The sequence below is a fragment of the Homo sapiens genome, chromosome 4 (genome assembly GCF_000001405.40).
Source record: "Homo sapiens chromosome 4, GRCh38.p14 Primary Assembly".
NCBI lineage: Eukaryota > Metazoa > Chordata > Mammalia > Primates > Hominidae > Homo > Homo sapiens.
Genome location: NC_000004.12, coordinates 48,543,434 through 48,571,113, shown reverse-complemented (window position 1 = coordinate 48,571,113; position 27,680 = coordinate 48,543,434). Strand labels below are relative to the sequence as shown.

The window sequence follows — 27,680 nt, the reverse complement described above, 5'->3', positions numbered from 1 at the left end:
ACCTTATTTGACTCATTCATTTCAAACTGTTCACTCATACCTCTTTGAGGCAGTAGCTACCAGAGTACCCACAGTCTACACTGTACAAGCAAAATAACTTCAATGAGCCCAGAACCTCTCTCTGAGGCAGTCACATTATTCTTTCCAAGTTACACCAGCAGGATTTTAATTAATGTGTTTGTATCTTTGGAATAGAATATGAAACGGCGCAGGCGTCGAGACATTTTACGAGTACAACTGGTACGAATATTTGAACTGCTGGCAGATGCTGGTGTCATTAGTCACAGGTCAGTATTGGATTCACATTGTTAAAACTCTGGAATGATCCTAGAGAACGTAATCTCTTTTCGCTCATGAAATGTATAAAAACAGAAAAGCACCATTGCAACAAGAAAACCTGTATGTATCACTGTGAAAATTATTTAACAAATAAATATGCATTCGATACACTGACCAGTAGCTAAAAATGTATTGAAAAATCTACTACCAGAATTGGATTGCTTCTGGCAAAAAATGGATATAATGTTCCTATGATTTTGATATTTGTTGGAACCTAGTTATCTTGGCAAGTGGACAGTGGTAGCTTTTTCTGTCACAAAGGAAAAAAGATTTTCCTTTTTCTTACCTCATTTTAAAGATGTTTTTCTTCTGAGCTTGAAAAAATAATATATTCACAGGCTAAACATTGTAAAGCTTACAAATTTATTCAAATGAACTTGCTATCTATCCTGCCAGGGAAAATTATGAAATCTTACAAATATAATTCATAACTGTTTTCCACCATTCACAGATAAAACCATGAAACCTGGAGATATTGCCGCAGTAAAGGCATCTTCACACTAAGCCCAGCCCCTTGAGGAAAATTCCATCAGCTGAATGTTGAAAAATAACTATTTCCTTAGGAGGATAATGGTGTTACCTGACCGTTGAAGGAGAAATATAATAGATGTGACCATATCCAAAAAGGTCACTGAAAAGATATCTTAAGGAAAAAAAAATGGACTAGGTGCAGTGGCTCACGCCTGTAATCCCAGCATTTTGGGAGGCTGAGATGGGTGGATCACTTGAGCCCAGGGGTTGGAGACCAGCCTAGGCAACATAGCAAAATCCCATCTCTATAAAAAACGCAAACAATCAGCCAGGAATAGTGGCAGACACCAGTAGTCCCAGATACCTGGAAGGCTGAGGTGGAAGGATCACCTGAGCCCAGGACATTGAGGTTACAGTGAGCCTTGACCATGCCACTGCACTGCAGCCTGGGAAAAGAGCGAGACTTTGTCTTGAAACAAAAAGGAAAAAAAAGAAGTATTATTAATCCAACAAGTGTAGTAACTATGATAACTGCACAGCATTATTCCTTTAGCATTTCTCCCAATTATTTATTTTACCGAACACCTTTCATATGTAGCATTGAATGCTTTTGACAAATACTTTCAAAATAGATTTTTAATCAGAGTATTTAAACCATTGATTTACTTTTCTTTCTTAATAAAAAGCAAATAAAAAAAAGAAATATTGGCCGATGCAGTGGCTCACACCTGTAATCCCAGCACTTTGGGAGGCCAAGGAGGGCGGATCACCTGAGGTCAGACTATCCTGGCCAACATGGCGAAACCCCGTCTCTACCAAAAATACAAAAATTAGCTGGGCACGGTGATGCGTGCCTGTAGTCTCAGCTACTCGGGAGGCTGAGGCAGGAGAATCACTCAAACCCAGGAGGTGGAGGTTGCTGTGAGCCAAGATAGTGCCATTGCACTTCAGCCTGGGTGAGAAGAGTGAAACTCCGCCTCAAAAGAAAAAAAAAGAAAGAAAGAAATACTATTCTCTTTTCTTTCCTCCACAAAAAATAAGAGTTAAAGTTAGGAAAAGTGAAATTGAAACTTGTGGGCTTGATGCAAAAAATTAACAACCTGATACACATCTGAATCTTCTTTGGTTGCTTTAATTGTAGCATTCGTAGAAGAATCTTTGAATGGTTCTATTTTGGGGACTGCAAAATTTTGCTGTATTTAAAATTACCAAAAACTATATGACTATTAAGCAATAATGATTTTTGAACCCAGTTGTGTATTTTGTTTTGAAGTATTTTTTAAAGAGTTATTAATAGAAAGTTATTGCTATTCTGGATTTTTAAATTTTCATGGCTACGGAAAAAAATGAATTCTGAATGCCAAGAAGACAGGGAGCTTTGTTTTGTTCACCTAGTGGATTTCATGTGCCTGACACATAGAAGGTAATGAATATTTGTTAGATTAATGAAGATTTTATTCTGGTACAGGTTGTAGTCCACTAAATCAGTTTCCTATCCACTAGTAGGTCATGATCCAGAGCTTGAAAAACACTCATTTAAGGAATAAAGGAAAAAATTTGAAAAACACTTATTTAAGGAATAAAGGTCATACATTGATTCATTCAATACATATTTATTGTTGTAGACTGATCTAGTTAATATACTGTAGTACCATTGCCACTCCTAACTCTTGTTTTCATGGGTTTAGGGTATTTATTCCGAAGTTACTCATAACTAGTAAAAAAAAAATTACCTTTAAAATAATATATATTAGAAGTAATTTTCAAACATAATAAGAAAAAGCTGACCTAAACAAATGCATATGTAATAGCTAATCATTTATATAGCACTTATTGTTTACTAGGCCTTTTCGTATATAGCAGTTCATTTACATCCTTACTAAAACACTCTGGAGTAGATACTGGATATATGCTTAATGATTGGTGAAACAAGACAGGAATCCAGGACTTCTGACTCTAACCAAATACTCCATCAGTCAGTCAGTGGTTGCCAGGCGCAGACATAGATCCCTTGCCTCAAAGAAAACCTCATTGCAGATACATCTTTCTTCCTTGAGACAGGCTCTTGCTCTGTCACCAAGGCGGGAATGCAGTGACTAGATCACAGGTCTCCCAGGCTCAAACAATCCTCCCACTTTAGCCTCCCGAGTAGCTGGGACTACAGGCGTGCACCACCATGCCCGGCAAATTTTTGTATTTTTTGTAGAGATGGGGTTTCACCATGTTGCACAGGCTGGTGTCAATCTCTTGGACTCAGTGATCCACCCACCTTGGCTTCCCAAAGTGCTGGCATTACAGGTGTGAGCCACCGCGCCCAGCACATTGCAGATATTCTTAAAGGCAATTTCATAGGTATAGAAAGGTTTTGAAACCCAGTACTCTACCCTATTCTTACAAGAATTCTCTTAGATTTTTGCATCCCTGATAATACCTATCCCAGAATGTTACTAAGTGACTAATAGATATTTAATTATGCTGAAGGCACAATATGAATAGACATGGCAGCTATGAATAAATAGAACTAGTCTTTCCTCTTTCTACTTTTCTAAACTGATCCTCCCCATTTCATATGCCTCCTGTCTCTGTATTTAGAAATCTGTGTGTTTCACAGAGAGGAAACAACATTTAGCACTGAGTTGATTTAAGTTAGATATGGAGTTGAATAATATAAATTGCAATAGCAGTTCCTAGATTAAGAAGCACCATCTATTTTCATATTAAAGTAAGCAAAATCATATTCATTTAATTTTCATATATTAAGTTGCGTGCTGCCATGAGCATGCAAAATTAACATGTATTATTCTGATTTTGAGTATTAAGAATTTTTTATTTAAATCATAAAGTCCCATTTACTTCATCTTTTGTTTTCTTCAATATTTTCAGTGCAAGTGGTGGCCTTGATAATGAAACACATTTTCTCAACAACACTTTATTGGAATATGTAGATTTAACTAGACAACTCCTGGAAGCAGAAAATGAAAAAGACTCTGACACACTGAAGGATATACGATGCCATTTTAGTGCCTTAGTGGCGAATATTATTCAGAATGTTCCAGGTATTATTTTCAGTTTCTTAAAGCATTATTGAGTATTAAGGAACCGTCATATTTTTTCTTTCCTTGAGGTTTAATAATCTAAGTTGATAAAGTAACGTATGAACATACTGGAAAAATATGTCAGCATAACCTGGATGGCTGGAGTTTGTTTTCCCTTTGAATTATTGTCACTGATTAGAAATAAAAAAGCAACCCAGCATAGAATTTCAGTAATAATCAGGATACTGACACAAAAACCTGGAGAAATCAATAGAATAAGCTCTTTAGGATAGCCTTGTTTTAGATGCAATAAGCAGAGTGCAGTGTCTCATGATAATTGAGAATAAAATTAAGAAGATACTTTTGAATAATGGGAAAAGAGTATAGGCCATAAATACAAAATGTAACAAGGATACCGTGTTACTGATTTACCAGATATGTTCCAATTATTGAGTAGGGTCTATATCGACAGATACTGGTTTAGATACTAGGAAGATTAATATACACAATTACATTTTTAAAAGTTAAATTATTTACAACTGTAAGAAGTAATGTGACTAGCCTTTGGCATACACTATAAGTGTTTCTTTTTCTCTTTGAAAAATTAAAGTCACATTGTTATTTTGAATAGTATATACAGACAGTGGATACCTAAAGAACATGGGTTGTATTTTATAACAGGGTCATTAAGCACTTAATTACATATGTCAATTTCAACTGTAGGAGCCTTGTTTTCATCTTTGAAAGGAAAATGACACTGTCAAAGGAAAAGAGCATATTTTTTTCGAAATTTTCTGATCTGAAGCTCACTAATATAAAGATGTGGTTTAGTCTATTACTAAACACTTTTTTACAACTTCCACATTGGTTTATTGTGATACTGCTGAGTTTCTTCAAGAAGGATAGATGTAGAGAAATTATATAGTAGAATTTCAAAATGGGGGAAAAAAATCCTTGGAGATCATTTAAACCAGTGGTTTTCAAACTTTGGTGTTTCTCAAAGCCCTGAGGTTCTCTGATGCCATCCGCAGAAAGCAGCAGAATGTGTTTGGACACTAGGCCTGAACTGCCCTTTTATCTGTTTTATATACTGAGATTACATGTAAGCTTCCTTTAGCAGGAAAAGGCAGCTTTCCTGCTGAAAAAAAAAAATAGAAAGTTTGAAAACACGTATCTCGTCCAAAGCCCTTACTTACCAGTGAACCAAGATACAGAGGTGTGTCTGTGTTAAAATCTTGGCCAATCTTACCATATAGCCAGTGATAGCCCAGGGAGAAATGGACTCCTGGCCCCACCTCTGTGCCAGCCTTCATGTGCCATTGAGCCTGCCATGGAATTTCTGCTTGCAGAGATGCTCTATGTCATGTAATGCTGGGACAGGGTGACACAGACTGCAACTTTGTTTCTGTGATTTGCATATATATAAATGATCCCTGCTACCGCGGAGGTTTTTGATAGTTTAAAATGAAAACTTCTGCTTTCTTTTTTACACTATTACACATTCAATAACATGTTGGTATAAAAGTTAAAGCAAAAAGAAATGGAAATAAATGTTTTCTATCTTTTTTTATTCACAGTGCACCAGAGAAGAAGTATTTTTCCTCAACAGAGCCTTCGTCACAGTCTATTTATGCTGTTCAGTCACTGGGCAGGTCCTTTTAGCATCATGTTTACGCCCTTGGACAGATACAGTGATAGAAATATGCAAATTAATAGACATCAATACTGTGCGTTAAAGGTATTTACTTAGAAACCTGATTTCTTTTTTCTTAAGAGCAGAGTTAAGTATTTTTAAGTCTCTCAGTCACTAGTATTAAAAAGAGGATCTGAGAGTATTAAAATGTTTTTCTGCCATATTCAAAACTTATACCATAAGTTATATTTAAATACATAAAATACAATGAAAAACAGTTCCAGAATCTACTCAAATTTGATCACCATTATCTTAAAGAACTTAGGATTACTTGAAAGAAATGCCTTTTTTCCCTTACTTAATTACTTTTTCTTGGTCTTTTTATCTTCCCTTCCAGTACTGTTCAAACTCCATGTCTAATTTGGTATCATATTTACTTACTCATAATAAATTTCTCAGTTTTAAAAAATAATTTGTAAAGAAAAAAGATTAAAGTATTGTGACTAGATAAGTATTTTGCCTCTTCTCATTAAGCAACCAACATTTAACCTCTTAAATTTGTTAAATGTAATTCTAATATTATTATTTGAAGGCTATGTCTGCTGTACTGTGTTGTGGCCCTGTTGCAGATAATGTAGGACTTTCATCAGATGGCTATTTGTACAAATGGTTGGATAACATTTTGGATTCTCTGGACAAAAAGGTAATTATGACAATTTCCTTAAAGGTTCATAATAAGTTGTCATTGTATTATTTGCAGTTAATGTATGTTGCACTAAAAACAAGTCTTTTAAAAAAATAAGATAGGTTAGGATCATATGCAAAAAGCATATTATATAAAGTTAAATAGGATCCCATAATGTAAAAACGTTCCAATTCTTATGTATCATTAATTTGAATAATTTTCATTTCCCTTTTTATATTATAGGATTAATACAGTGGTATGTGTCTCTCAACAGGGTTCTAAGTCAATAAATAAAATACCAGCATAGAACATATTGAGCTGCATGGGAAAAATATGTTATTTGCTATGTTTCATTTCGTTTTTTTAACCACTTTCCATTTAATCATTCCTCCTTGCCCTCCACACTCTGCCTTCCTTACTCTCATATTGTACATATACAGACTTCACAATTTAAAATAGGACTTACATTTTTTCCCCTCAGAACAGTTTTTCTATTGGGTTATCAAAAACAAGAATAAAGCTTGATAAAAATAATTGGAGAGGTTAATGACTCATTTTTCTGAAAGCACCTAATCACTATTCATATTCATTAACTGCCTTCAGGGCTCTGTTGGAAGACAAAATCATACTAGAGAGGCTCGCGTAAAAAGCGAGAGGCCAAATTCAGTTCATCTGTGTGGTTTTTTCTGCTGGCTGAATAAAATGAGAGGGAGGTGAACAAAAGGAGATGGAATTTTTCTATTAATTACAATGAATATATGCACTATATTACTTTAGTAAGAACTATAGGGAAATAGACAAAAAATATATAACGTTCTCTCTCGGGCAATTTCACAACCTTTACCTAGGTTCACCAGCTGGGCTGTGAAGCAGTTACGTTGTTACTGGAGCTGAACCCTGATCAGAGCAACCTGATGTACTGGGCTGTGGACCGCTGCTACACGGGCTCCGGGAGGGTGGCGGCCGGCTGCTTTAAAGCCATTGCTAATGTTTTCCAGAACAGGTACTTTAGATACAGGTTTTTTGTTTCATTTTGTTCTGTTTTCTTAAAGAAAAGTTTTTCTTTTGAATTCAAAAATAGGAAGACACCAGTTTAGTTGTCCTTCAGTATCTGTGGGGGATTGGTTCCAGGACCCCTCTCAGATCCCAAAATCCATGGATGCTCTAGCCTTCTATATAAAATGCTGTAGTATTTGTATTTACTCTATGCAAATCCTCCCGTATACTCCTTTTTTTTTTTTTTTAGACATGGTCTCGCTGTCACCCAGGCTAGAGTGCAGTGGCATGATCATAGTTCACTGTAACCTCAAACTCCTAGGCTCAAGTGATCCTCCCACCTCAACCTCCCGAGTAGCCAGGACTGTAGGCTCCCACTACCATGCCTGGCTAATTTTTAAATTCTTTGTAGCGACGAGGTCTCACTACGTATGTTGCCCAGGATGGTCTTGAACTCCTGGCCTCTCACTTTGGCTTCCCAAAGTGCTGGGATTTCAGGCATGACCTGCCGCGCTTGGCCTTTCCCTCATATTTTTGATCCACAGAGGGTTGACTGTATTTTCTTTTCTTAAGCTCAAATGCAGCCGTGTCTAACCCTTTGAATGTGAGGACCTTTTTGCTTATCTGTGGTGGTGGATATTACAAAAATTATGCATGGATTTTTTTTTTTTTTTTAGTTCATCAGCTGTTTTTAGTGTATTTTATGTGTGACACAAGACAATTCTTCTGATATGGCCCAGGGAAGCCAAAAGGTTGAACACGTGTGCTCTAATGGAATTTAACCAAAATAAGGACAATTATCACCATGCATCTGTTGTTGTACCTATTGCCTTGAAAAAACCAAGTCTCCTCATAGGCTTAGAAGATAGATGCCTATAAGCCTTGCCCTTTGCATATCATATTTATTAAATGGTGCAAAAGCCTCTAAACATTGTTATTTACTTAATATGTAAAATTTATTCCTAGGGATTATCAATGTGACACAGTGATGCTTCTAAATCTGATACTGTTTAAAGCAGCTGATTCTTCTAGAAGTATCTATGAAGTTGCTATGCAACTTTTACAGGTTTGTAAACATGTGAATTTAAATATTTTTTTACTCAGGATTTAATGAAGCCCAATAATTTAGTCTTGCTATTAAAGCATACTGATAATAGTATTTAGCTTTATTTATAGTAAAGAAGTTATGGTATCAAGGCCTAATTATTATTAGAAGTATAAGACAAAGATAATATAGATATTTAAATTTATAAGTAATGCAGACTATTCCTAAGTGTATTGTAGAAGGATTATTTATGATAATGTGTGTGTATGTGTATGAAGGTACTTATAAATATGTGTCCATGTAAGTATTTCTGTTCAGCAGATGAGAACAATGTGTGTCCAAATTTTTTTGGAGAGCCATGTGAAAAATAATTAGCTCTTTTTATCATATTCTCATGTAAATTTTCTTTATTAGGTTGAGGAGAAATAACTTAGAAAGTTAACTTACCAAACACGGATATATTGTTAGTATGCAATACTTAACTAATTCATAATAGGGCAAGATTCTTCCATCTTAACCAAGGGCTAAGAATAGGATTCAAGTAGGTGCTTTTTCCAAAGGCTCTGAAGTGGTTCTGATGCCAGTAGATCCATCTTAGGAATTATACCCTAATGCCTTTGTTAATTAAGAGGAAAGTTCAGCAGTACAGCTCTTTAAATAGTGTAATGTCGAAAGGTCCTCCTTGAAGGGTTTTTTTTTTTCACTTATGCATATATTGTACTACCATATTTTTGTGCGAGAAAAGTGGTAAATCTTTTTCAAGTAATCGTATATTAAGTTGCTGGAGTTATTTTCAGACTGTGTTACTAACCTGGATCATTGGCATTAAATACGAGGAATGTAAATTCTTTTAGTGAGAAAGAGTTTTTGTTTGTTTTGTTTCATTTTGTTTTTGAGATAGGGTCTCACTCTGTCACCCAGGCTAGAGTACAGTGGCACAGTCATGGCTCACTGCTGCCTCTACCTCCTGAGCTCAAGTGACCCTCCACCCTCAGCCTCCTGAGTAGCTGGGACCACAGGCACACACCACCACATCTGGCTAATTTTTTAATTTTTTTGTAGAGATGAGGTCCTGCTATGTTGGCCAGGCTAGTCTGGAACTCCTGGCCTCAAGTGATCCTCCCACCTCTGCCTTCCAAAGTATTGAGATTACAGGCATAAGCCACTCCACTCAGCTGGGGAGAAGAGTTTTTTTAAAAATTATAAAATTATAGTTAAACTTTAGAGAACCCATAAAATCTTAACCTAAGTTGATGGAATCACATTCCTATAGATTCTGGAACCGAAGATGTTTCGCTATGCTCACAAATTGGAGGTTCAGAGAACAGATGGAGTACTCAGCCAGCTGTCTCCTCTACCACATCTCTATTCTGTTTCATATTATCAGTTGTCCGAGGAACTAGCAAGGGCGTATCCTGAGCTAACTCTCGCCATATTCTCAGGTATGATCAATGAACTGGTTAGTAGTTTCTATTTGTCAATCATTTCTTCAGAAACAATTTTTAGAAAATTATAAATTTATTAAATTACAGGTTAAATCAAAACCAGACATGTCTTTACATAGGAAATATTTTTTTCTTCAATAAGAACTCTTAATTCTGATCAGTCACAATATTTAGGTTTTTCTATCAACGGCGTCCTTATAGGGTTTTATACCTGACCTTCCCTTCGCTCCCTACTCCATCAAAAAGAAAAAAATACAAGAGGGACGACTTTTCACATGTGACTTAAAAGTATTTCTTAGTAGACATAGGACTTCTTGAATACATTGTATTTTGTGTATTGGCATATGTTTAATAATAAAAATAGGCAGGGATAAAGTTATAGGCAGTTTTCCGTGAGCGAAACCCCTAACCATAGGAGCAGGTGGTACAGTGCCTCGAGCAAAACTCTTTCTAGTCTCCCACATGTTGCTTGTCGCCTACATCAAGATCTTGTTCCAGTGTAAGTACTGGCCATGCTCCAACACTGGGATCTGGGAGATTGCAGAGTTCTGCTGTGGGTCCTTTATTTCATTTGGGCTCAAGAGATAGTGGACTTAGCTGGCTTGGGATCTTTGCACAGCACCTATTTTAGCAATAGAAATAGTTTATTTCCCATCCCTAATTGACCTGAGTGGGAGAAAAAAGCAATAACAACAACTTAAATTCTCATAACATTTAGTTCTTGAAAGCAGTTGACCTGTTTGGTTTGCCCTGGTAGTTGGTAGCAATGCCTCTTCCTTTTTCCCAACCCCCGCATCCGTGACAGCCCTTCCAAGATGAATATGAGTGATCATCAACACAAAATAGCGGCCGCCGTGAACACAGATTTTGTGGCTGCTGAGCTGCTGCTAGAGGCTTTTGCACAGAAAGTAGAGGAGTCCAGCTGGGTCTCAAGAGATCATGTAACTGTTTAGAATGTCATGTCATCGCCTAGGATGTGTGCTGGTACAGGTGTCCACCATGCCCACACCCCCACCACCTTGTCATTCTTCCTTCAGTTCTCTCTTCAGACACTCTTGTCCTTAGCATCAGCTAATTTTAACTCCTTTGCTTAAGATAGTTCATTCTAAACCAAAACAGCCTCTCAACCTGACAAATTCCATAGCTAACCTACATTTTCACTTTCACTGTTTCTAAGGCAAGACAAACACAATATTCATTCAGAATTTTACTGCACAGATACAGGTATCAGCATAAACTTTGCCACTTTAAAATTTGAGGGCCCTGATCCTTTCTTTCTCCAGATTCAATGCAATGGTCTCTAAATGTTGTCAGCTCTGAGGCCCTTCCCATTCTTGCTCCTCACATCCTTTCCCTCCTTCACACCTGCTCCTAACCCCTTCCTCACCCCTGTGCCTTGCCTCGAGTATATACACTCACTATTCCATATTCTCAGTCCTCCTGCATGCCTTAGATCTTCACAGATGGCCTTCACACTCCACTAGTATCAATTTCCTTTCTGTAGCCTCACCAGGTACCTTCCAAGTGCTCAGTCTAGTCACTGGCTAATAGTCTTCAGTCTGTTTGCTACTTTCCACAGCAATTGGTGTTAGCCATCTTATATTTCTTTAAGCTCTGATCTCACTTAATTTCCAAAAACTTAATATTTCCTGCTTTTTCTTCTACCGTTGAGTATTCCTTTTCTGTCTCTTTTGGTAGATTCTTGCCTTCCGTCCCTTTTTTTCTGTTTTTTATTTTTGAGACAGAGTCTCTCTCTCTCCCTCTCCCCCACCCCCTATCCCCCTCCCCCTCTTCCTCTCTCCCTCCCTCCCTCCCTCCCTCTTCCTCTCTCCCTCCCTTCCCCCCACAAAGCCATCATCTTCCCTCAACCTCCCCAGTAGCTGGGACTACAGGTGTGCGGCACCACACCTGGCTTTTTTTTTTTTTTTTTTTTTTTGGAGAGAGAGGATCTGGCTGTTACCCAGTCTGGTCTCCAACTCCTGGCCCAGGGGATCCTCCCACCCCAGCCTCTCAAAATACTTAGGATTACAGACATGAGCCACCGCACCCAGCCCCATATCTTAAGTGTTAGTGTTACTAGGGTACCGTCTCGGGCCCCCACCTCCTATCATCTCATCTCCCTCCAGGAAGTCAAACCACACCGTGACCCCTATACCCACAGACAGACTCTTCCTTCCATAGTCAGGATCTCTTCATTCAACTACTTTCTGAGCTCCATGTCTTTTATACCAGAGGTAATAAAATTGATGTCTTGATAGAATCTTTGTAGAAGGTTAAGGTTGAGCATAATTGCATGCCAGGACTGAGCACTTCATTGGCATTATATTGGATTTGCACAATAACTTCATGAGGCAACTAGTTTTGTTACTTTCTTTTTACCGAATAAGAAATCAAGGATCAGAGGTTGATAGGTTAGCCCTAGGTCAGGCTATCTATATGTGGTAGATCTGTGGGATTCAAACCCAGGGTTGTGCAATTCCAGAGCCAAGTTCTAAAACACTTCTCTTAATGAGTAAGTAAGTACAGGGTCTAGCATGGAAAGAGAGGAGCAAAGGAGAAAGAAGATTTTTGTTTATGGTGATTTATGGAAATTAAACAACGTATAAAAGGCTCACGGGCTTTGGAATTGTCCTTGTGGTTTGAATCTTGGCCATTTGGTAATTGTTCAGCAAATTACTCTGACTCCGCCCACCTCACAGGTTTGTCATGAGCATTAAAGGATCTGAATGTAAAAGTAACAGGCACATCATAGGCATCTCCCCTATATAGAACCAAAATTTGTGAGGTTCCTAATGGGTCAATTTAAAATTAATCTGTGTATAAAGATGTTCTTTTATCTTTTGATTACGTTTTTGTTCATTGTGATAAAAAAGCATAAAATTTGCCATCTTAATCATTTTCAAGTATGCAGTTAAGTTCCAGAATTGTTTAGTGTATTCACATTGTTGTGAAATAGACCTCTAGAACTTTTTCATCCTGCAGAACTGAAAAGTCTATACCCACTAAACAACAATCCTGCTTTTCCCTCTGCCCCCAAGCTCTGGTAATCAGAATTCTACTTTGTGTTTCTATGGATTTGACTACTTTAGGTACTCCATATATGTGGAATCATACATATATGTTGATTTGTATTTTTGTTTGTGATTGGCTTATTTCAGGTAACATAATGTCATCAAGCTTCAGCCCCGTTGTGGCATATGACAGGATTTCTTTCCTGTTTTCCCTTTTTTAAGGGTGCATAATATTCCACTATATGTATATACATTTGGTTTATTCATTCATCTGTCAATGGACATTTAGGTTGCTTCCACCTACCTCTTGGCTATTGTGAATTGTGCTGTTAATGAACATGGATGTACAAATATTTGTTTGAGTTTCTGCTTTCAATTTTTTTCAATGTATACTCAGAAGTGGGGTTGCTGGATCATATGATAGTTCTATTTTTATTTTTTTGAGGAACCATCATACTGTTTCCCAGAAAGTATGCACCATTTTACAATGCCACCAACAGTGCACAAACATTTATTTTAACTGCCAAAAGTATTTTGTATAAAATGTATGTGATTTATGTTAGCTGTTAATTTTATGATGTCGTTGAGGTGAAATTTGCTAAAAGGAAAAACAATACTCATAATTGTTAAGTGTAATGAGTAAAATGAATAAAATCTGGCTTCTGAAATCTGTTGGAATTAATTACGGGTCAGAGGAAGCTGAAATTACATCAGTTATCTTTGACTTGTTTTCAATTTCAGAGATAAGCCAGAGAATCCAGACAGCTCACCCTGCTGGGCGGCAGGTGATGCTGCACTACCTGCTACCATGGATGAACAACATCGAGCTGGTGGACTTAAAACCTCTCCCCACAGCAAGGCGACATGATGAAGATGAAGATGATTCCTTAAAAGACCGAGAACTTATGGTGACTAGTAGGCGCTGGTTACGGGGAGAAGGATGGGGATCTCCACAAGCCACTGCAATGGTTTTGAACAATCTGATGTATATGACAGCAAAGGTAAAATGAGTTTTGTATTTATAATTGCTGCACAGAATTATTGAGTGAGTAGATGTGGTTAGAAACAGATGAAGAGGTTCCATAATCCTGTGATAACCAAACAAATATCTTTCTTTAAAAAAGACTCATTAGATATGAATTTTTTTTACTAAAACCATATATGATTAATTATATTTATGTTTAGATTTGTTGGAAGAAATTATTGTTTCTGTAAAGTGTGGAAACGATTAAAGCTATCTGTACAAAACATTTTTTAATATTTCATGGTATGACAAGTTTGGTTTTTATAATAGGCAGTCATGACTGAAGTATCTTTTGTGCATATTGCATCTAGTATGGCGATGAACTGGCCTGGTCGGAGGTGGAGAATGTGTGGACCACACTTGCAGATGGCTGGCCCAAAAACCTGAAAATAATTTTGCACTTTTTGATCAGCATTTGTGGGGTGAATAGCGAACCAAGCCTCTTGCCTTACGTATGTATTCAAGTTCATTTAATTTTAAAATATATGTATATATTTACTAGTATCTTGTGATGTCAGAGTATGGGCAGCAGTTGCCCAGGAGAGGCAAGGCAAGGCAAGGGCCGGGATGAAGACAGTCAGGAAATAGCACATGGATTTATTCACTGATTCAGTTAGCAAATGTTATCTATCATTATGACAGGCCAGGTGCTCTTCTGGGTATTACAATCTGATGGGTAATACAGAATTTATTTGTTGAAGCTACATCTGATTTATTTAATGAATAAATCAGTAAGCTAATAAAGTATAGTGTGATAAAGGCTATAAAAAAATTGCAGAGTTCTGAGAGTAAAAAACCTAGGAACCACAGCTGTCTGGAAGGATTCAAGATGACACTTGAGAGAAAGTGATATTGAAGCTGAAACCACACACTGGGGATGTTTCTAGTTTCTGCTAGGCAGAGCTGGCATTTAGATATGAGAACAGGATGGTGAGTGTGAGCTCAGTGCACGTAGGATTGTCCTTCAGGCTGCTGGAAGCAAGGGAAAGCATGGTAAGAGATATGAAACGAAGAAGATAACATCTTTGCCTTCCAGGGGAGAAAGGAACATCCAGATCTGCCCAAGTCAAGAGGACACATTTGATATGAAACTATGAAACCTGAGGGTTAAATGGACACACATGCTCACATGTCTTTGTAGATGCAGATATAGATATCTATCCCGTGGCAGCATCCCCCAAAAGTGTGGTCCACGGAAGACTAGTCCTACAGAATGTTATCTAAAAGTTCTTACAGGCCAGGCGCAGTGGCTCATGCCTATAATTCCAGCACTTTGGGAGGCCGAGGCAGGCGGATCACCTGAGGTCAGGAGTCCGAGGCCAGCCTGGCCAACATGGTAAAACACCATCTCTACTAAAAATCCAAAAATTAGCCGGGTGTGGTGGCGCATGCCTGTAATCCCAGCTACTCAGGAGGCTGAGGCAGGAGAATTGCTTGAGCCCAGGAGGCAGAGGTTGCAGTGAGCCAAGATTGCACCACTGCACTCCAGCCTGGGCAGCAGAGTGAGACTCCATCTCAAAAATAAAATAAAAATAAATAAATAAATAAAAGTTCTACAGATTCTATTTTAAACAAACCACTTGATAGCTTTGCTTTACTCAGCATTCCCCAAGTTCACTTGGTCACTGAAAGCATCATTGCCAAGGTGTACCACAGGCATAGTGCCTTTGAGAAGTGCTTAGAGAACTGTAGGTGTATGGTACAAGACAACGTTACCGCACGTTACCTCTCTGACTGTGTCTCCTATATTCTGTCTGGTGCTCCCACCCTTCAGCTGCGCTGGCCCCCTTTGCTTCCACCTCTCTCACCAGGCATTCCCTCCTCGGGGCCCTCACACTCACTTGCCTTCTCTTCCCCAGTTAGCCACGTTACTCACTCCTCACCTCTTTCAGGTCCTCCTTCAGGTGGCAGTGCCCACTGGGACTTCTGCTGCCCATCCTGTCTAAAACTGCAAATGCACCACCTCCACACACACACTCCATTTCCTTTCCCTTCTTCATTGATCTTTCTGGCACTTAATCATCACCAAACACATGATATATTTTACCTATTTACCTCATTAATTTTGCATCAACCAGTAGATTGTAGGCTCCTTAAGAATGGTAGTTTTTGTCTATTTGATTCACTGCTAAATTTCCATTTAGTGTAGTGCCTGGCACATAGAAGGTGCCCATTAATTGGATGAACGAATGGGGGAGTTAGAGTCAGTACTAGAAAAAGCATGGGATTATACTTTTAAGAGGCCAAATGAAAATTTGGGGAATAGCCATTTTCCAGGAATTTAAAAGGAGCCATTTTTTAAATGTCAATAATAATTTATTGGTTATTATTTTTTAAGCACTTATTATGGGTGCTTATTATAGGCATGGTAAAAGCACTTCATCCACATTATTTAAATCTCAGAATCTATGAGTTTGGTGAGATCACTGCAGTTTTACAGAGGAAAAAACAGGGCAGAGAGAACGGTAATTTCCTCAAGTTCTCACTCTTGTCACTTAATAGATCTAGAATTCCAACCCAGATCTGATGGTGAAGTCAGTATAAGCTTCCTGGAGAAAGGAGTAGAGTTAAGGTGGGGGATGGGGCTTGAAGACTTGATAGGATTAGGGTTGGGAGTGTCAACTCGGAGATCCACAGTCAGGCGGAAGGAACCCACAAAGGCAGGAATGCACACAGCATGCTCAGAGGAGATCGAACCTGAAAATAGAGAGAATTAGCAAGTAGTGCCCATTGGATGGAGTAAAGAGCCATACCTAGAAGGTTATCACTGGGTAACCATGATAAGAGTTTTGGCCTGGTGCTGTGGCTCACGCCTGTAATCCCAGCACTTTGGGAGGCCAAGGCAGGAGGATCACCTGAGGTCAGGAGTTCGAGACCAGCCTGGCCAACATGATGAAACCCCATCTGTACTAAAACTACGAAAATTATCTGGGTGTGGCGGCAGGCACCTGTAATCCCACCTACTCGGAGGCTGACGCAGGGGGAATTGCTTGAACCGGGGAGGCAGAGGTGGCAGTGAGCCACGATGGTGCCACTGCACTCTAGCCTGGGCGACAGAGCGAGACTCCGTCTCAAAAAAAAAAAAAAGAATTTGGTTGGGATATAATAAATCATGTTTTAAGATTCATCCAGGGGTCATATAAAGCAGTGCTTTTCATATGTCTGTAAAAATACGAATCATTCTGATTCTGGAGGTGGGGTGGGCCTGAGATTCTCTATTTCTAGCAAACTCCAGATGATGATGCCTGTCTTGCTAGGATCACATTTTGAGTAGTAAGGATTAAAATAGGGAGAAAAAGAGATAGGCTGATCAGTTATGAAGTTATTTCAGTAATATACATTACTAAAACATATGTATATACTACTGAAAAGTTTTTCTACTTATACTGTGTTACTAGCCATTTTTAAAGTGCATTATAAACCTTAACTCATTTAATCTTCCTAATAGCTATATGAAGTAGGTGCTATTACTACCCCCATTTTGCAGATGAGAAAACTGAGAGCAACTTTCCAATGATAGAGTTAGTAAGTGGTATATCCACATTCCAAACCAGGCAATGTAGTTGGAGTTCTAATTTAGTTCTAGTTCTTTGCTCTTAATGACTACTCTGGTTGACTATAGGGAATGGGGAAGGCGGAATAAAAGATAAACCCTGGGTTTGGAGGCTGGCTAACTAAAAATCAGAGGAAAATCTTAGGATGTTATTACCTGTGTTTCCATTAAAAGAGAAATTTTTACAGAAAAGTATTTTTTTGTTTTTTTTTTTTTTTTTTTTTAAAGTAAAGAAAGTGCATAAAGTGGAAACCACTAAACCGCTAAACATACTCAGTTCACCCTAATTAGATCTAATGCTGAGAGTTAGAGGGAGGACAGTATTGATAAAGCTGATTAATGTCTTATTGTTGATCAGTGCTAATTTTGATTTAGATTGTGTTTATTCATCTACCACTTAAAGTTGAACTTACTCTGATAAAGTTTGTCTCAGGAGAAATTAATGAGATAAAAACTTTGCTTTTTCTTTTCTGAACGATTTCTTTTGTGACAGGTGAAGAAGGTCATTGTATATTTAGGTAGAGATAAAACAATGCAGTTGCTAGAAGAGCTGGTGAGTGAGCTTCAGCTGACCGATCCTGTCAGTTCAGGGGTCACTCACATGGATAATCCCCCGTATTATCGCATCACTTCCAGCTATAAAATCCCTTCTGTCACCTCAGGTGAGAAATTTGTTAAAACCGATTGCTGTGTGAGATGATAGACATCTTCATCTGCTTCACTATGGTAACCATTTTAGGGTCTCTATGTCCCATAACATGTTATGAATCTCAGATATATACAATAAAATTTATTAAAAGAAAAAAACAAATCTTCCTCAGTATTGAAAGAGAAGCTTAACATAATTGTTAAACAAGAGTTTATTGTGTCTTTAAATGTATATATATATACACACCTATATGTATGTGCATATATTAAAATTATTGTAATATTTTGAGTATGAAGAAACTATGTTCCTAATAGAAGAACATCCAATGAAATTCAAAATAGTAAAAAGGCTATTGTAGATGAAATTTCTGTTAAACTCTTTGTTACTCAGTTTACTTTAAATGTTTTCAGCATGCTAATAACATTATCTGTAAAACTAGAAATATTTTAAATTATCTCTTTATAATTTATTTTTTACCATCCATTTTCATCACCTAGTCCTTTTGTTTTATTTTCCAGGAGATGTCTAATAATGCTTCTATTGAATTTTTCATATCGGCTAGAATGTTTTTAATTCTAAAGTTTCATTTAATTATAATTTTTTAAAGTAGCATCCTATTCATGTTTCATAGTTGGACTGTTGTTTCGTATCCAATACAGTTATAAAGTTTTCTCCCAGCAGAAGTCCTCATTTTCTCTACATTGCTGTTTTGTGTTGATAAAACTTTTCTCAAAAGCCTACCAATTCTAGATCTGTCTTTTCATAAAGAGTAGAATATTAAAAAAAATATAAGTTCTATAAGTATATATGGAACTTGTTGTCTGTGTGCTTTGTCGTACCATGATTTCAGTGATGCCAACGTCTGTAGGTCTTTTCTCCTAGATTTATCAGATTCCCTAGAGAAAACTCTTTCTAGTCATTTGCCTGCAGAGGGTGTGTCTGAACACACACACACACACACACACACACACACACACACACACCCCTTTGGACTGTTTATATTTATACACACACATATACACAGGCTTCAAACTTTCTGGAAGCCCAGTGGGGTAAGAAGGATGTTGGGGGGGGTGCAGTCTCAAATTTTAGCATGTGCATTTTCATTTAATGCCCCTGTTCTTTGTAAGGTGCCTCCTCTTTCAGGAGTACATGGCGTGCCCTAGTTCAGGAATCTTCTGATTTACTCTCATCAGAAAAGACTTCTAGAAGTGGGGAAAGACAGCCACCCAGCTGCAAGAGGCAAGAAAGTAGATTTGGGGAACCAGTTACTTCTAAAATAGATTGACTTTCAGCCAGGTTTCCTATTTTTTCGCACCACCTTCAACCCCTGTTTCCAGAGGTTCTCGATGCTACCTTTTGGAAGTTCAGCAATATAAACATGGAAGCTTCTTGGTTTTCACCCACCACCACCTTTGGATTCAGCCTTCTTAACACTTAATTACTTACTGTCCATTTGTATTCTAGCATCCAAAAATTTGTTTGTCTTATGTCCTTTCCCTTTTGGTCATTATGAGTACATTCCTTTTTTTAAATGACTTTGCTCTCATTTTAGTTAAGTTTTGATATCTATAATTTGAGATCTTTTGTTCTTATTGGGTTATTCCAGGTTTGTAGATTCACGAGTACTGCTTTGTCTTTGATTACAGGAACTACTTCCAGTAGCAATACAATGGTAGCTCCCACAGATGGCAATCCTGATAATAAGCCCATTAAAGAGAATATTGAAGAGAGGTAAGTACTTCTCTGTTCTGTATTAGCCTTTCAGTTTGACAGATACTGGTTGTCATCAGAATAAATGATATTTTCTGCATTGAAATGTGGATGTTGCTGTGTTAAAATTCGAGTGAAAAAAATATATTTCCATGCTGGAAACTTTCCACATTGAGAGTTTCAACATTAAAGATGCTAGCCTGCTAGATTTTTTTATATGCTCTAATGTATAAATAGGTGGTATATGGTAAGTCACTTTTTGTATTGCTTAAAGTTTTAGACCTATATAAATGGTATTTACTCCACCTGTTTTGTATGCCAGAATATTATTTTAGGTAGAAATAATTGATTAAAAGTTTAAGCTTTTGGATTATAAGGTGGAAATTAATGTACGTCATAGTAAACTTTTGTTAGTATTTTGTGTACTGTGTCCTTTTTTTTTTTTTATTGAGATGGAGTCTCGCTCTGTTGCCAGACTGGAGTGCAGTGGTGCAATCTCAGCTCAACCTCTGCCTCCCAGGTTCAAGCAATTCTCCTGCCTCAGCCTCCGGAGTAGCTGGGACTACAGGCACACGTCACCACGCTCGGCTAATTTTTGGTATTTTAGTAGACACGGGGTTTCACCATGTTGGCCAGGATGGTCTCGATCTCCTGACCTCATGATCCTCCTGCCTTGGCCTCCCAAAGTGCTGGGATTACAGGCTTGAACCATGGCGTCCGTCCTCCTTTTTTAAACAGAGAAAGTGAAACATAAAGTATAAATACCATTGCACCGTGAACTGTGACTAACTTCAGTGATCATTCCCATAGCTATGTGCACCTGGACATTTACAGTGGACTAAACAGTCATTTGAATCGGCAACATCACAGACTAGAATCCCGATACAGTAGCAGCTCTGGAGGATCTTATGAAGAAGAAAAAAGTAATAAATTCCAAATGTTTTTAATATAACTATAAGGGTGAGGTGTATTGTTAATTACATTAATGTTAATAAATATATATTTTCAGTAAATTGTTTTTAAAAAGCGTATTTAACTGCCACTAGTGGTGTTCCAACATAATCTGAAACATCTTGATTTTAAGAAGCAACGTAATTGGGTGAAATTTTTTTTAAAGCACTGGTTTCCTATAGATAAATCACAAGGAACATAAGAACTGGTTCTCAGGAAGCATCATAGAACAAATACTGGAAACAGGCTGATTTTTTTTAGCAGGATTGCTCCTTCTGCATGGATTCACTTTTTCCTTAAAAGATTCTCCCTTGGCAATTGCAAAGTGAATAATCTACCCAAGTTTCACTATAACGTTAAGGCAGGGTATCATAGAAGCACAGGCTTTCAGACTGGGAAGGGACACTGAAGATGATCTGGTCCAATCTCCTCATTTTGCACATGATGGAACTGAGGTCCAGAGAGGTTAAGTGACTTACCCACGTCACACAGAATTCACATTTCCTGACATTTTTTATTGCACCCCGCAGCCCCACTGTGGTAGAGCAGAGTTCCTTTCAAGATGGAGCTGTGTTGGCCCTATCTCAGGATATTTAGAACTGAATAACTTACCAGAAGGCCCTTTGTTACAAGGCAGCTTCACCAATAATGTGATCTCCTGGCTTGGACATCATTGATGGAATCATGATGAAGTGCTAATATAGTTTTGCTTTGACGTACAGGGTGGAACCTAAATTAATCTCTTTCTCTCTCTCCCTCTCCCTGGTTTGCTTAATTTGATAATATTTGTGCCTAGATTTTCCTAGCAAACATGTTGAAATAGTGGGAAATTTTTTTTATCACTTTCCAATACTATATAAATAGTTGGGATCTTACTAGAGTTTGCTTATATTGGCAGAAATTAGATGGTGTAGAAAATGAGATCATTTTATCTTGATAGGTGATTCAATGCCACTTTATTCTAATTGGCGACTGAAAGTGATGGAGCATAACCAAGGAGAGCCACTGCCCTTCCCACCAGCTGGAGGCTGCTGGTCACCACTGGTGGATTACGTGCCTGAAACGTCATCACCTGGATTACCTCTTCACAGGTGGACTACAGCGTCATTCCTTTTACATATGCACCAAGTTGCTGCTGAACACTGTCGGCTTTCTTTGTGCTATCTGACAACACAGAATGAAAGCAATCTTCTTTATGGAGATACTGCAACACAGATCAATGTGTTTAGATTCTAAGAAATCTAAAAAACTCAGAATTCTAACTTTATAAAATTAATATTATTAAATCTAATTCTGCTGCTGCTTTTCTGGGTGTCTGGCATAGTTACTTGACCTTTCTGGGACCCAGTTACTACATCTGAAAAATATGACTTTCCTATGGTAGGCACTATTATTTTGCATCGAGTTAAATTGAATTCTACTTAGCAAAATCACAATAGAGCAATTACTGCATTCTTTCAAAATGTATTAATGCACCAAACATGTATTGAACACCTACTGTGGCAAGCAGTGTGCTAAGTCTCAAGGTTGAAAGATGAAGAAAATGTGGCTCCTGAGTTCAAGGAACCCTTAGCCCTTATGTTCTGTTCCATCTCTTTAACTTAATGGTTAACGTTTTCTTCAGCTGTATTTGTTTTTCCTCCTTTTTCCTTGATAAGTTGTATTTTTCCATGAAATGTGATATTAAAGTCTTCAAGTAATTTTGTACCAAATTCTCTCTAGGTTTACTGAGATCTAGTAAAACGTTAATGAAACTCTTATTTGTCATAGGTGTAACATAGCAGTGATCCTTTTGACTGATCTCATCATTGATCATAGTGTGAAGGTGGAATGGGGAAGCTACCTCCATCTTCTTCTTCATGCAATTTTTATAGGTAATAAATATTTGGTTCTAATTCTTTCATGTTATATTTTTATGATAATTTAAAAGCAGTATGGTTTTATGACAGTTTTTATGTGTTTCTGTTTCCTGTTATTTTTATGTTATTTCCATGACACTTTTCACTATGATTCCTCTGGTCTCTTGGGGAGTTATGTCTGGCCCCTCTTCTAACCACAAACAAACATGTCTATTACCCCCATTCCTATTCCTATCTTATGGCCTCGCCTGCCCACACACAAACACACATATACTATACCAAGGAAAAATTCTGTGGCTGTGGCAAGAGTCAAATTAACTTAACTCTGGGATTGGAAACTTTCAGAGTGAATGAAAAGTTGAGATAGGTTCTAAGTATTTCCCAAAAGAACTGGGTTGTTGGATAGCCTCATTATTATACCTGAAACTCCATCGTGCCTTCTGTAGCAAACATGTGGGATCTACCATATCTATAATACATTTGATGCTTATAGGATTGGCTTCCTGAAGCAAGTCCAGATAGCCATCTCCTTATAAGTTTTCCTGATGGGCACACTTAATGTTGGTGTATTACATCATTCCTTCAGTTAATCATGTACTTTCTGTTATGTGCTAAGCACACAAAAAACCCTGCCTTTAAAAAAAAAAATTCATTTCCATGAATTTTTTTATGTTATGTAACAGAAATAATTTTTAAGAGATCACTAAATTTTAGACATGAAACACATTTAGCTTACCTTGAGTCTCCCTAGTACTATAAGACAGTAGGCTATTGTAAAAGTATATAAGAACTCTAGGGCAATAAAAAACCATATAATATGTCACCTTCCATGAAATCTTTCATATAATTTCTCCTTTTCTTCAAAATGTGAGTTTGGTAGTAAGAATACTCATTATTTCTCTTTATTGATAATGTTTCTCTACTATCCTTTTTAGGGTTTGACCACTGCCACCCTGAGGTGTATGAACATTGTAAACGCCTGCTTCTGCACTTATTAATAGTAATGGGACCCAATAGTAACATCCGAACTGTTGCTTCTGTCCTTCTCAGGAACAAGGAGTTTAATGAGCCCAGGGTGCTTACAGTCAAACAAGTTGCACACTTAGATTATAATTTCACAGGTATTTGCTTTAAATGTACAATTTGAAAGTAGAATTATACTTTATTAATTTGGAATCCTGCATTAGAGAAAGTCAACTGAATAAAAGTTGAAATACTAGAGAACATTTTAAAAATGTAGTTGTATTATTTTAAGTACCATTTAAATTATTTGCTAATAAAAGAAGGGATTAAATTTAAAATATTTGAGTCTGCATTACCTCGAACGATCTTTATCGAGATTTAACTTAGGAATATGTAAGTTGAAGACATAATGAAACTGCTTAATTTATTGAGGACGAATTACGAAAAAGATGTTGAGCTTGTATTAGATTCCTCTTATTTGCAGGATCTGAAAACTGATAAAGTAAGGCATTTTAAATTTTGTTATTCTCGTGATTATATTTACTGCATTAAAAACATACATTTTGAAGTAGTGAAGTCCAAGTTAATGAGACTTAATATGGTTTATTTCACTGTCAATGTTAATTTTTGTTTTTTACTTTTAAGGTATATTTTCTTATATCCTATAACTAACATTTCTTTCATTCATCAGTACCATCAGGCTAATAACAAGTGATCTAGAAACTTTTTTTTCAAAATTGCAATAAAATTACCTTTTTTTTTTCTAATCATACAGTGTCAGATACAGGGTTCATCAATTTTAAAGTTAGTTAAAACCCTGTTATTTATTTAAAATCCTATAGTTAGGAAACAATTATTAGGAAACTTATTAGCCTTTTAAAACTATGATTAAAAGAAAAATGGAATGAAGTTTACTGCCTTTTTATATTAAGGCACCATTATTCAAAATTCCATAGCTTGTTTGTTTTTAAGGCTTCTCTTACCAATTTGTAAATATGGGCATTAGTAATAACCTTTAACAGTTTTTTAAAAAATGATTGATGCACTATGTGTATTTCAGATAGATGAGCCTTTCTGCAATGGAAATGGATCAAAAATTATAGAAAATTTTCTATAAAAAGTTAAAAATCAGTTCATATTATAGAAATGTGACTGACAAGCGATGTTGACAAAATATGCCAGAATATTAGGAAACTGCCACTTGCAAGTTTCTTCAGCAGATGGCGGCAGAGGACTGCATAGTACATCCAAATTGCTAAGTTTTCAAGCTGTGAAACAATGTTTGCCCCAAAACTTACTTGCTGTAATTTGGTGTTCATGAGGATCAGCAGGAGCACTGATTCACATCACCTTGCACTGACAGATTGCCTCATGTGTCCCATAGAGTCTAAGGAACAACAGTTTAATTCTATAGGTATTTTGTGAGATTCTTTCATGTTTTAGGTATTCATGACGATCTTTCTCTTTCAGCAGGCATTAACGATTTTATACCTGATTACCAGCCCTCCCCTATGACTGACTCAGGGCTTAGCTCAAGTTCTACCTCTTCTAGTATCAGCTTAGGAAATAACAGTGCTGCCATTTCACATCTGCACACCACTATCCTCAATGAGGTTGACATCTCAGTGGAGCAGGATGGAAAAGTCAAAACCCTCATGGAATTCATTACCTCAAGGTAACACTGGCAGCTCTTATCATCCCAGCAGTGTATGTGTTAAGTCATTCTTTCATTGATCAGGTATTATGAGCCATATTTTTGTTGTCTGAAATACCATTGATGTGAAATACACAGGTTTGTATTGCACAGTATTTTGAAAATTAGGATGCAATCAAAGACTCTTTTGTGCCAGTGCAGTTATACCTCAGGACTTTAATCATATCTGGCTATTTAATGGCCAAAGAGAATGAGTATTATCTGAATATATATTTCACTTTTATTAGCTACATTATCATTCAGTCATCAAATATTTATTTATGGTCTACTCTTTGCAAGACACAATAAGTAGAGAGGGAATATAGGTGGGGAGAAAGGGCATGGTATTCCATTGCAAGAACAAAATCACAGGAGCACAAGAAAACCATGTGTTTGGAAATGGTGAGGAATCCACTCTGACTGTAATGCAGAGAAAAGAGAGTTGTTCTAGACAATTATGGAAAGCTTGGGAGAGTTCAAACTGGCGGGCCATGAAGCCCAGGCCATAAGGTTGTAGATTATATTGAAAATCATTAAGCTGGGAGGAGGGTGGGAGGCATCATTTAATAAGTATGTGGAGAAAATCAGCCCCATAACAGCGTGTAGGATGCATTAGAGGTGGAAGGAACCAGAAGCAGTGCGTAGCAGGTTCTCAGGGCACTTTGGGCCTGTGTTAATAAAGAGCTTAACTGAGGTGGTGGCCAAGAACACAAAGACGTTTTGAAGAAAGAATCAAGAGGACATTACTCTGTCCTAAACTTTCCCTGTAGTTTTAGCTAGTAAATTATTCTCATTGCATTTCACCAGCAAATTATTTTCTTTGCATTACAATCTAAATACAGATTATATTTTGACCTGGAACACATAAGCAGTAACCAATATGCTTCACACTTGGCAAAATTTGGCATCTTTTTCTACTACGTCTGAGAGAATTTGACTGGTCTGTTGCTAGACACTGAAATGAGATCTTTCTCTCCTTGCTGTAGATCATTACATATTCATGTGCCTAAGTAGTAGTAGACTGTGACCTATTTATTCAACTACCATCCTTTCTAATTGTAAAGGTGTAATTTAGGCAAGTGTGAGTACAACTGTTAATCACAAGTGAAAATCCAAGGAAATTACATCTGTTCTCTGTTTTCAGAAAAAGAGGGCCCCTTTGGAACCATGAGGATGTTTCTGCCAAGAATCCTAGCATAAAGAGTGCTGAACAGTTAACTACATTTTTGAAACATGTGGTTTCTGTTTTTAAGCAGTCAAGCTCAGGTATCTTTTAAGAAATATTTTAGTTTTAGTGACATTTTAATGTGATGTCAATTTCTGATAATGCTTAGCAAAAAGTTAATAGTTGATATTGTGATACCTCTAAAAGTTTTAGACTTTTAATTTATTAATGATAACAGATCTGTTTTCACTGAAGAAAAATTAAGTTACTACTTAAAAATGAGTGCTATCTATGAAATGCTAGGCTCCTTAGTTTTGTGTTTGATGGCATCATAAAATTACAATACAATTGCGTATTATGAAAAAATACATTAAACGGACGTATATAGAAATTGGAAACTTAAAAAAAATTGTGCTGGTATAGTCTTCAGTAATCTAAAATTCAACACATTCTGAAAATCATAGTCAAATTGTATATGTCTAGAGCAGTGGTTCTCAACTAGGGGACATTTGGCAATGTCTAGAGACAGTGTCACCGTTATGGGTTGGGGGCAAGGGGTTACTACTGGTATCTGGTGGGTTGAGGCCAGAGACACTGCTAAACATCATACCCTGCTCAGGGCAGCCCTTCCAGCAAAGAATTTTCTGGCTTATAAGGTCAGTAGTGCCAAGGTTGAGAAACCCTGGTCTGAAGGATTGCTTCCGTAAAGATTAAAGGGTCATCTAAAATGCAAATGGAGTTTAAGCAAAGAAAAAGCATTGACTTATAAAATGTGAGAGCCAGGAAGTGTGCTAGCTGCTAGCTTTAAGATGATTCACTTCTGATTATAACCCCATTAGTATTCTAAAGAACAAGAACAACCTACTCGTTTCCTTTGCATTCACAGAAGGAATTCATCTGGAACATCATCTTAGTGAAGTTGCTCTGCAAACAGCACTTTCCTGTTCTTCTCGACACTATGCTGGGAGATCCTTTCAGATTTTCAGGGCCCTAAAGCAGCCTCTCACTGCAACTACACTTTCTGATGTTCTCTCCAGACTTGTAGAAACTGTAGGGGATCCAGGAGAAGATGCACAGGTATTTCCTTATATTCTTTCAGCAGTTATTGAGCAGCTACTAGTTGTCAAGGATTTATTGTCCATATAGATTGCTATAGCTAGAGCAAGATAATGGGCATCTAGAATTATAGTCAGATGTTGAGCAGGCAAAGAATTAAGAGACAAAGTTAGTTTTGTAATTAATATCAAATAACCTACTAATTAAATCAACTATTCTAGTGCCTATCAGAAAAAGCTTTACACTCGCCCACTCACACAACACCCCACCCCCAAGATCTTAACCTGGGATGATCACAAGGTAAAAAAGATAGGAAGTTAAATTTAAATGTAAAGTGGAGCATTGAATTTTATGCTTTAAGATAAATGAACTGTTGCACTAGAGAACTTCAGTT

The 27,680-nt window shown here is 37.2% G+C and overlaps 1 protein-coding gene across 21 annotated transcripts in view; it reads left to right on the top strand.

The window, feature by feature from the left end:
* Positions 1-27,680, top strand: part of FRYL (FRY like transcription coactivator) — a 282,923-nt gene that overhangs the window by 209,166 nt on the left and 46,077 nt on the right. For 16 of the 21 annotated variants that reach the window (XR_007096393.1, XM_024453991.2, XM_024453993.2 and 13 more), the window contains 18 exons: positions 196-287; positions 3,694-3,866; positions 5,423-5,583; positions 6,071-6,181; positions 7,012-7,166; positions 8,126-8,225; positions 9,478-9,646; positions 13,402-13,661; positions 13,996-14,136; positions 17,731-17,899; positions 19,536-19,620; positions 20,410-20,522; positions 21,491-21,641; positions 22,321-22,424; positions 23,345-23,530; positions 24,843-25,047; positions 26,210-26,331; positions 27,117-27,307. Coding sequence is in view for 20 of the 21 variants with exons in the window: in XM_024453991.2 (XP_024309759.1) it covers positions 196-287; positions 3,694-3,866; positions 5,423-5,583; positions 6,071-6,181; positions 7,012-7,166; positions 8,126-8,225; positions 9,478-9,646; positions 13,402-13,661; positions 13,996-14,136; positions 17,731-17,899; positions 19,536-19,620; positions 20,410-20,522; positions 21,491-21,641; positions 22,321-22,424; positions 23,345-23,530; positions 24,843-25,047; positions 26,210-26,331; positions 27,117-27,307 (2,688 nt within the window). In the remaining variant the exon portion in view is untranslated. Of the gene's footprint in view, positions 1-195; positions 288-3,693; positions 3,867-5,422; positions 5,584-6,070; positions 6,182-7,011; positions 7,167-8,125; positions 8,226-9,477; positions 9,647-13,401; positions 13,662-13,995; positions 14,137-17,730; positions 17,900-19,535; positions 19,621-20,409; positions 20,523-21,490; positions 21,642-22,320; positions 22,425-23,344; positions 23,531-24,842; positions 25,048-26,209; positions 26,332-27,116; positions 27,308-27,680 lie in introns of those variants that run through there. The other 5 variants (XM_047450098.1, XM_047450097.1, XM_047450095.1 and 2 more) reach the window with 2 other exon arrangements.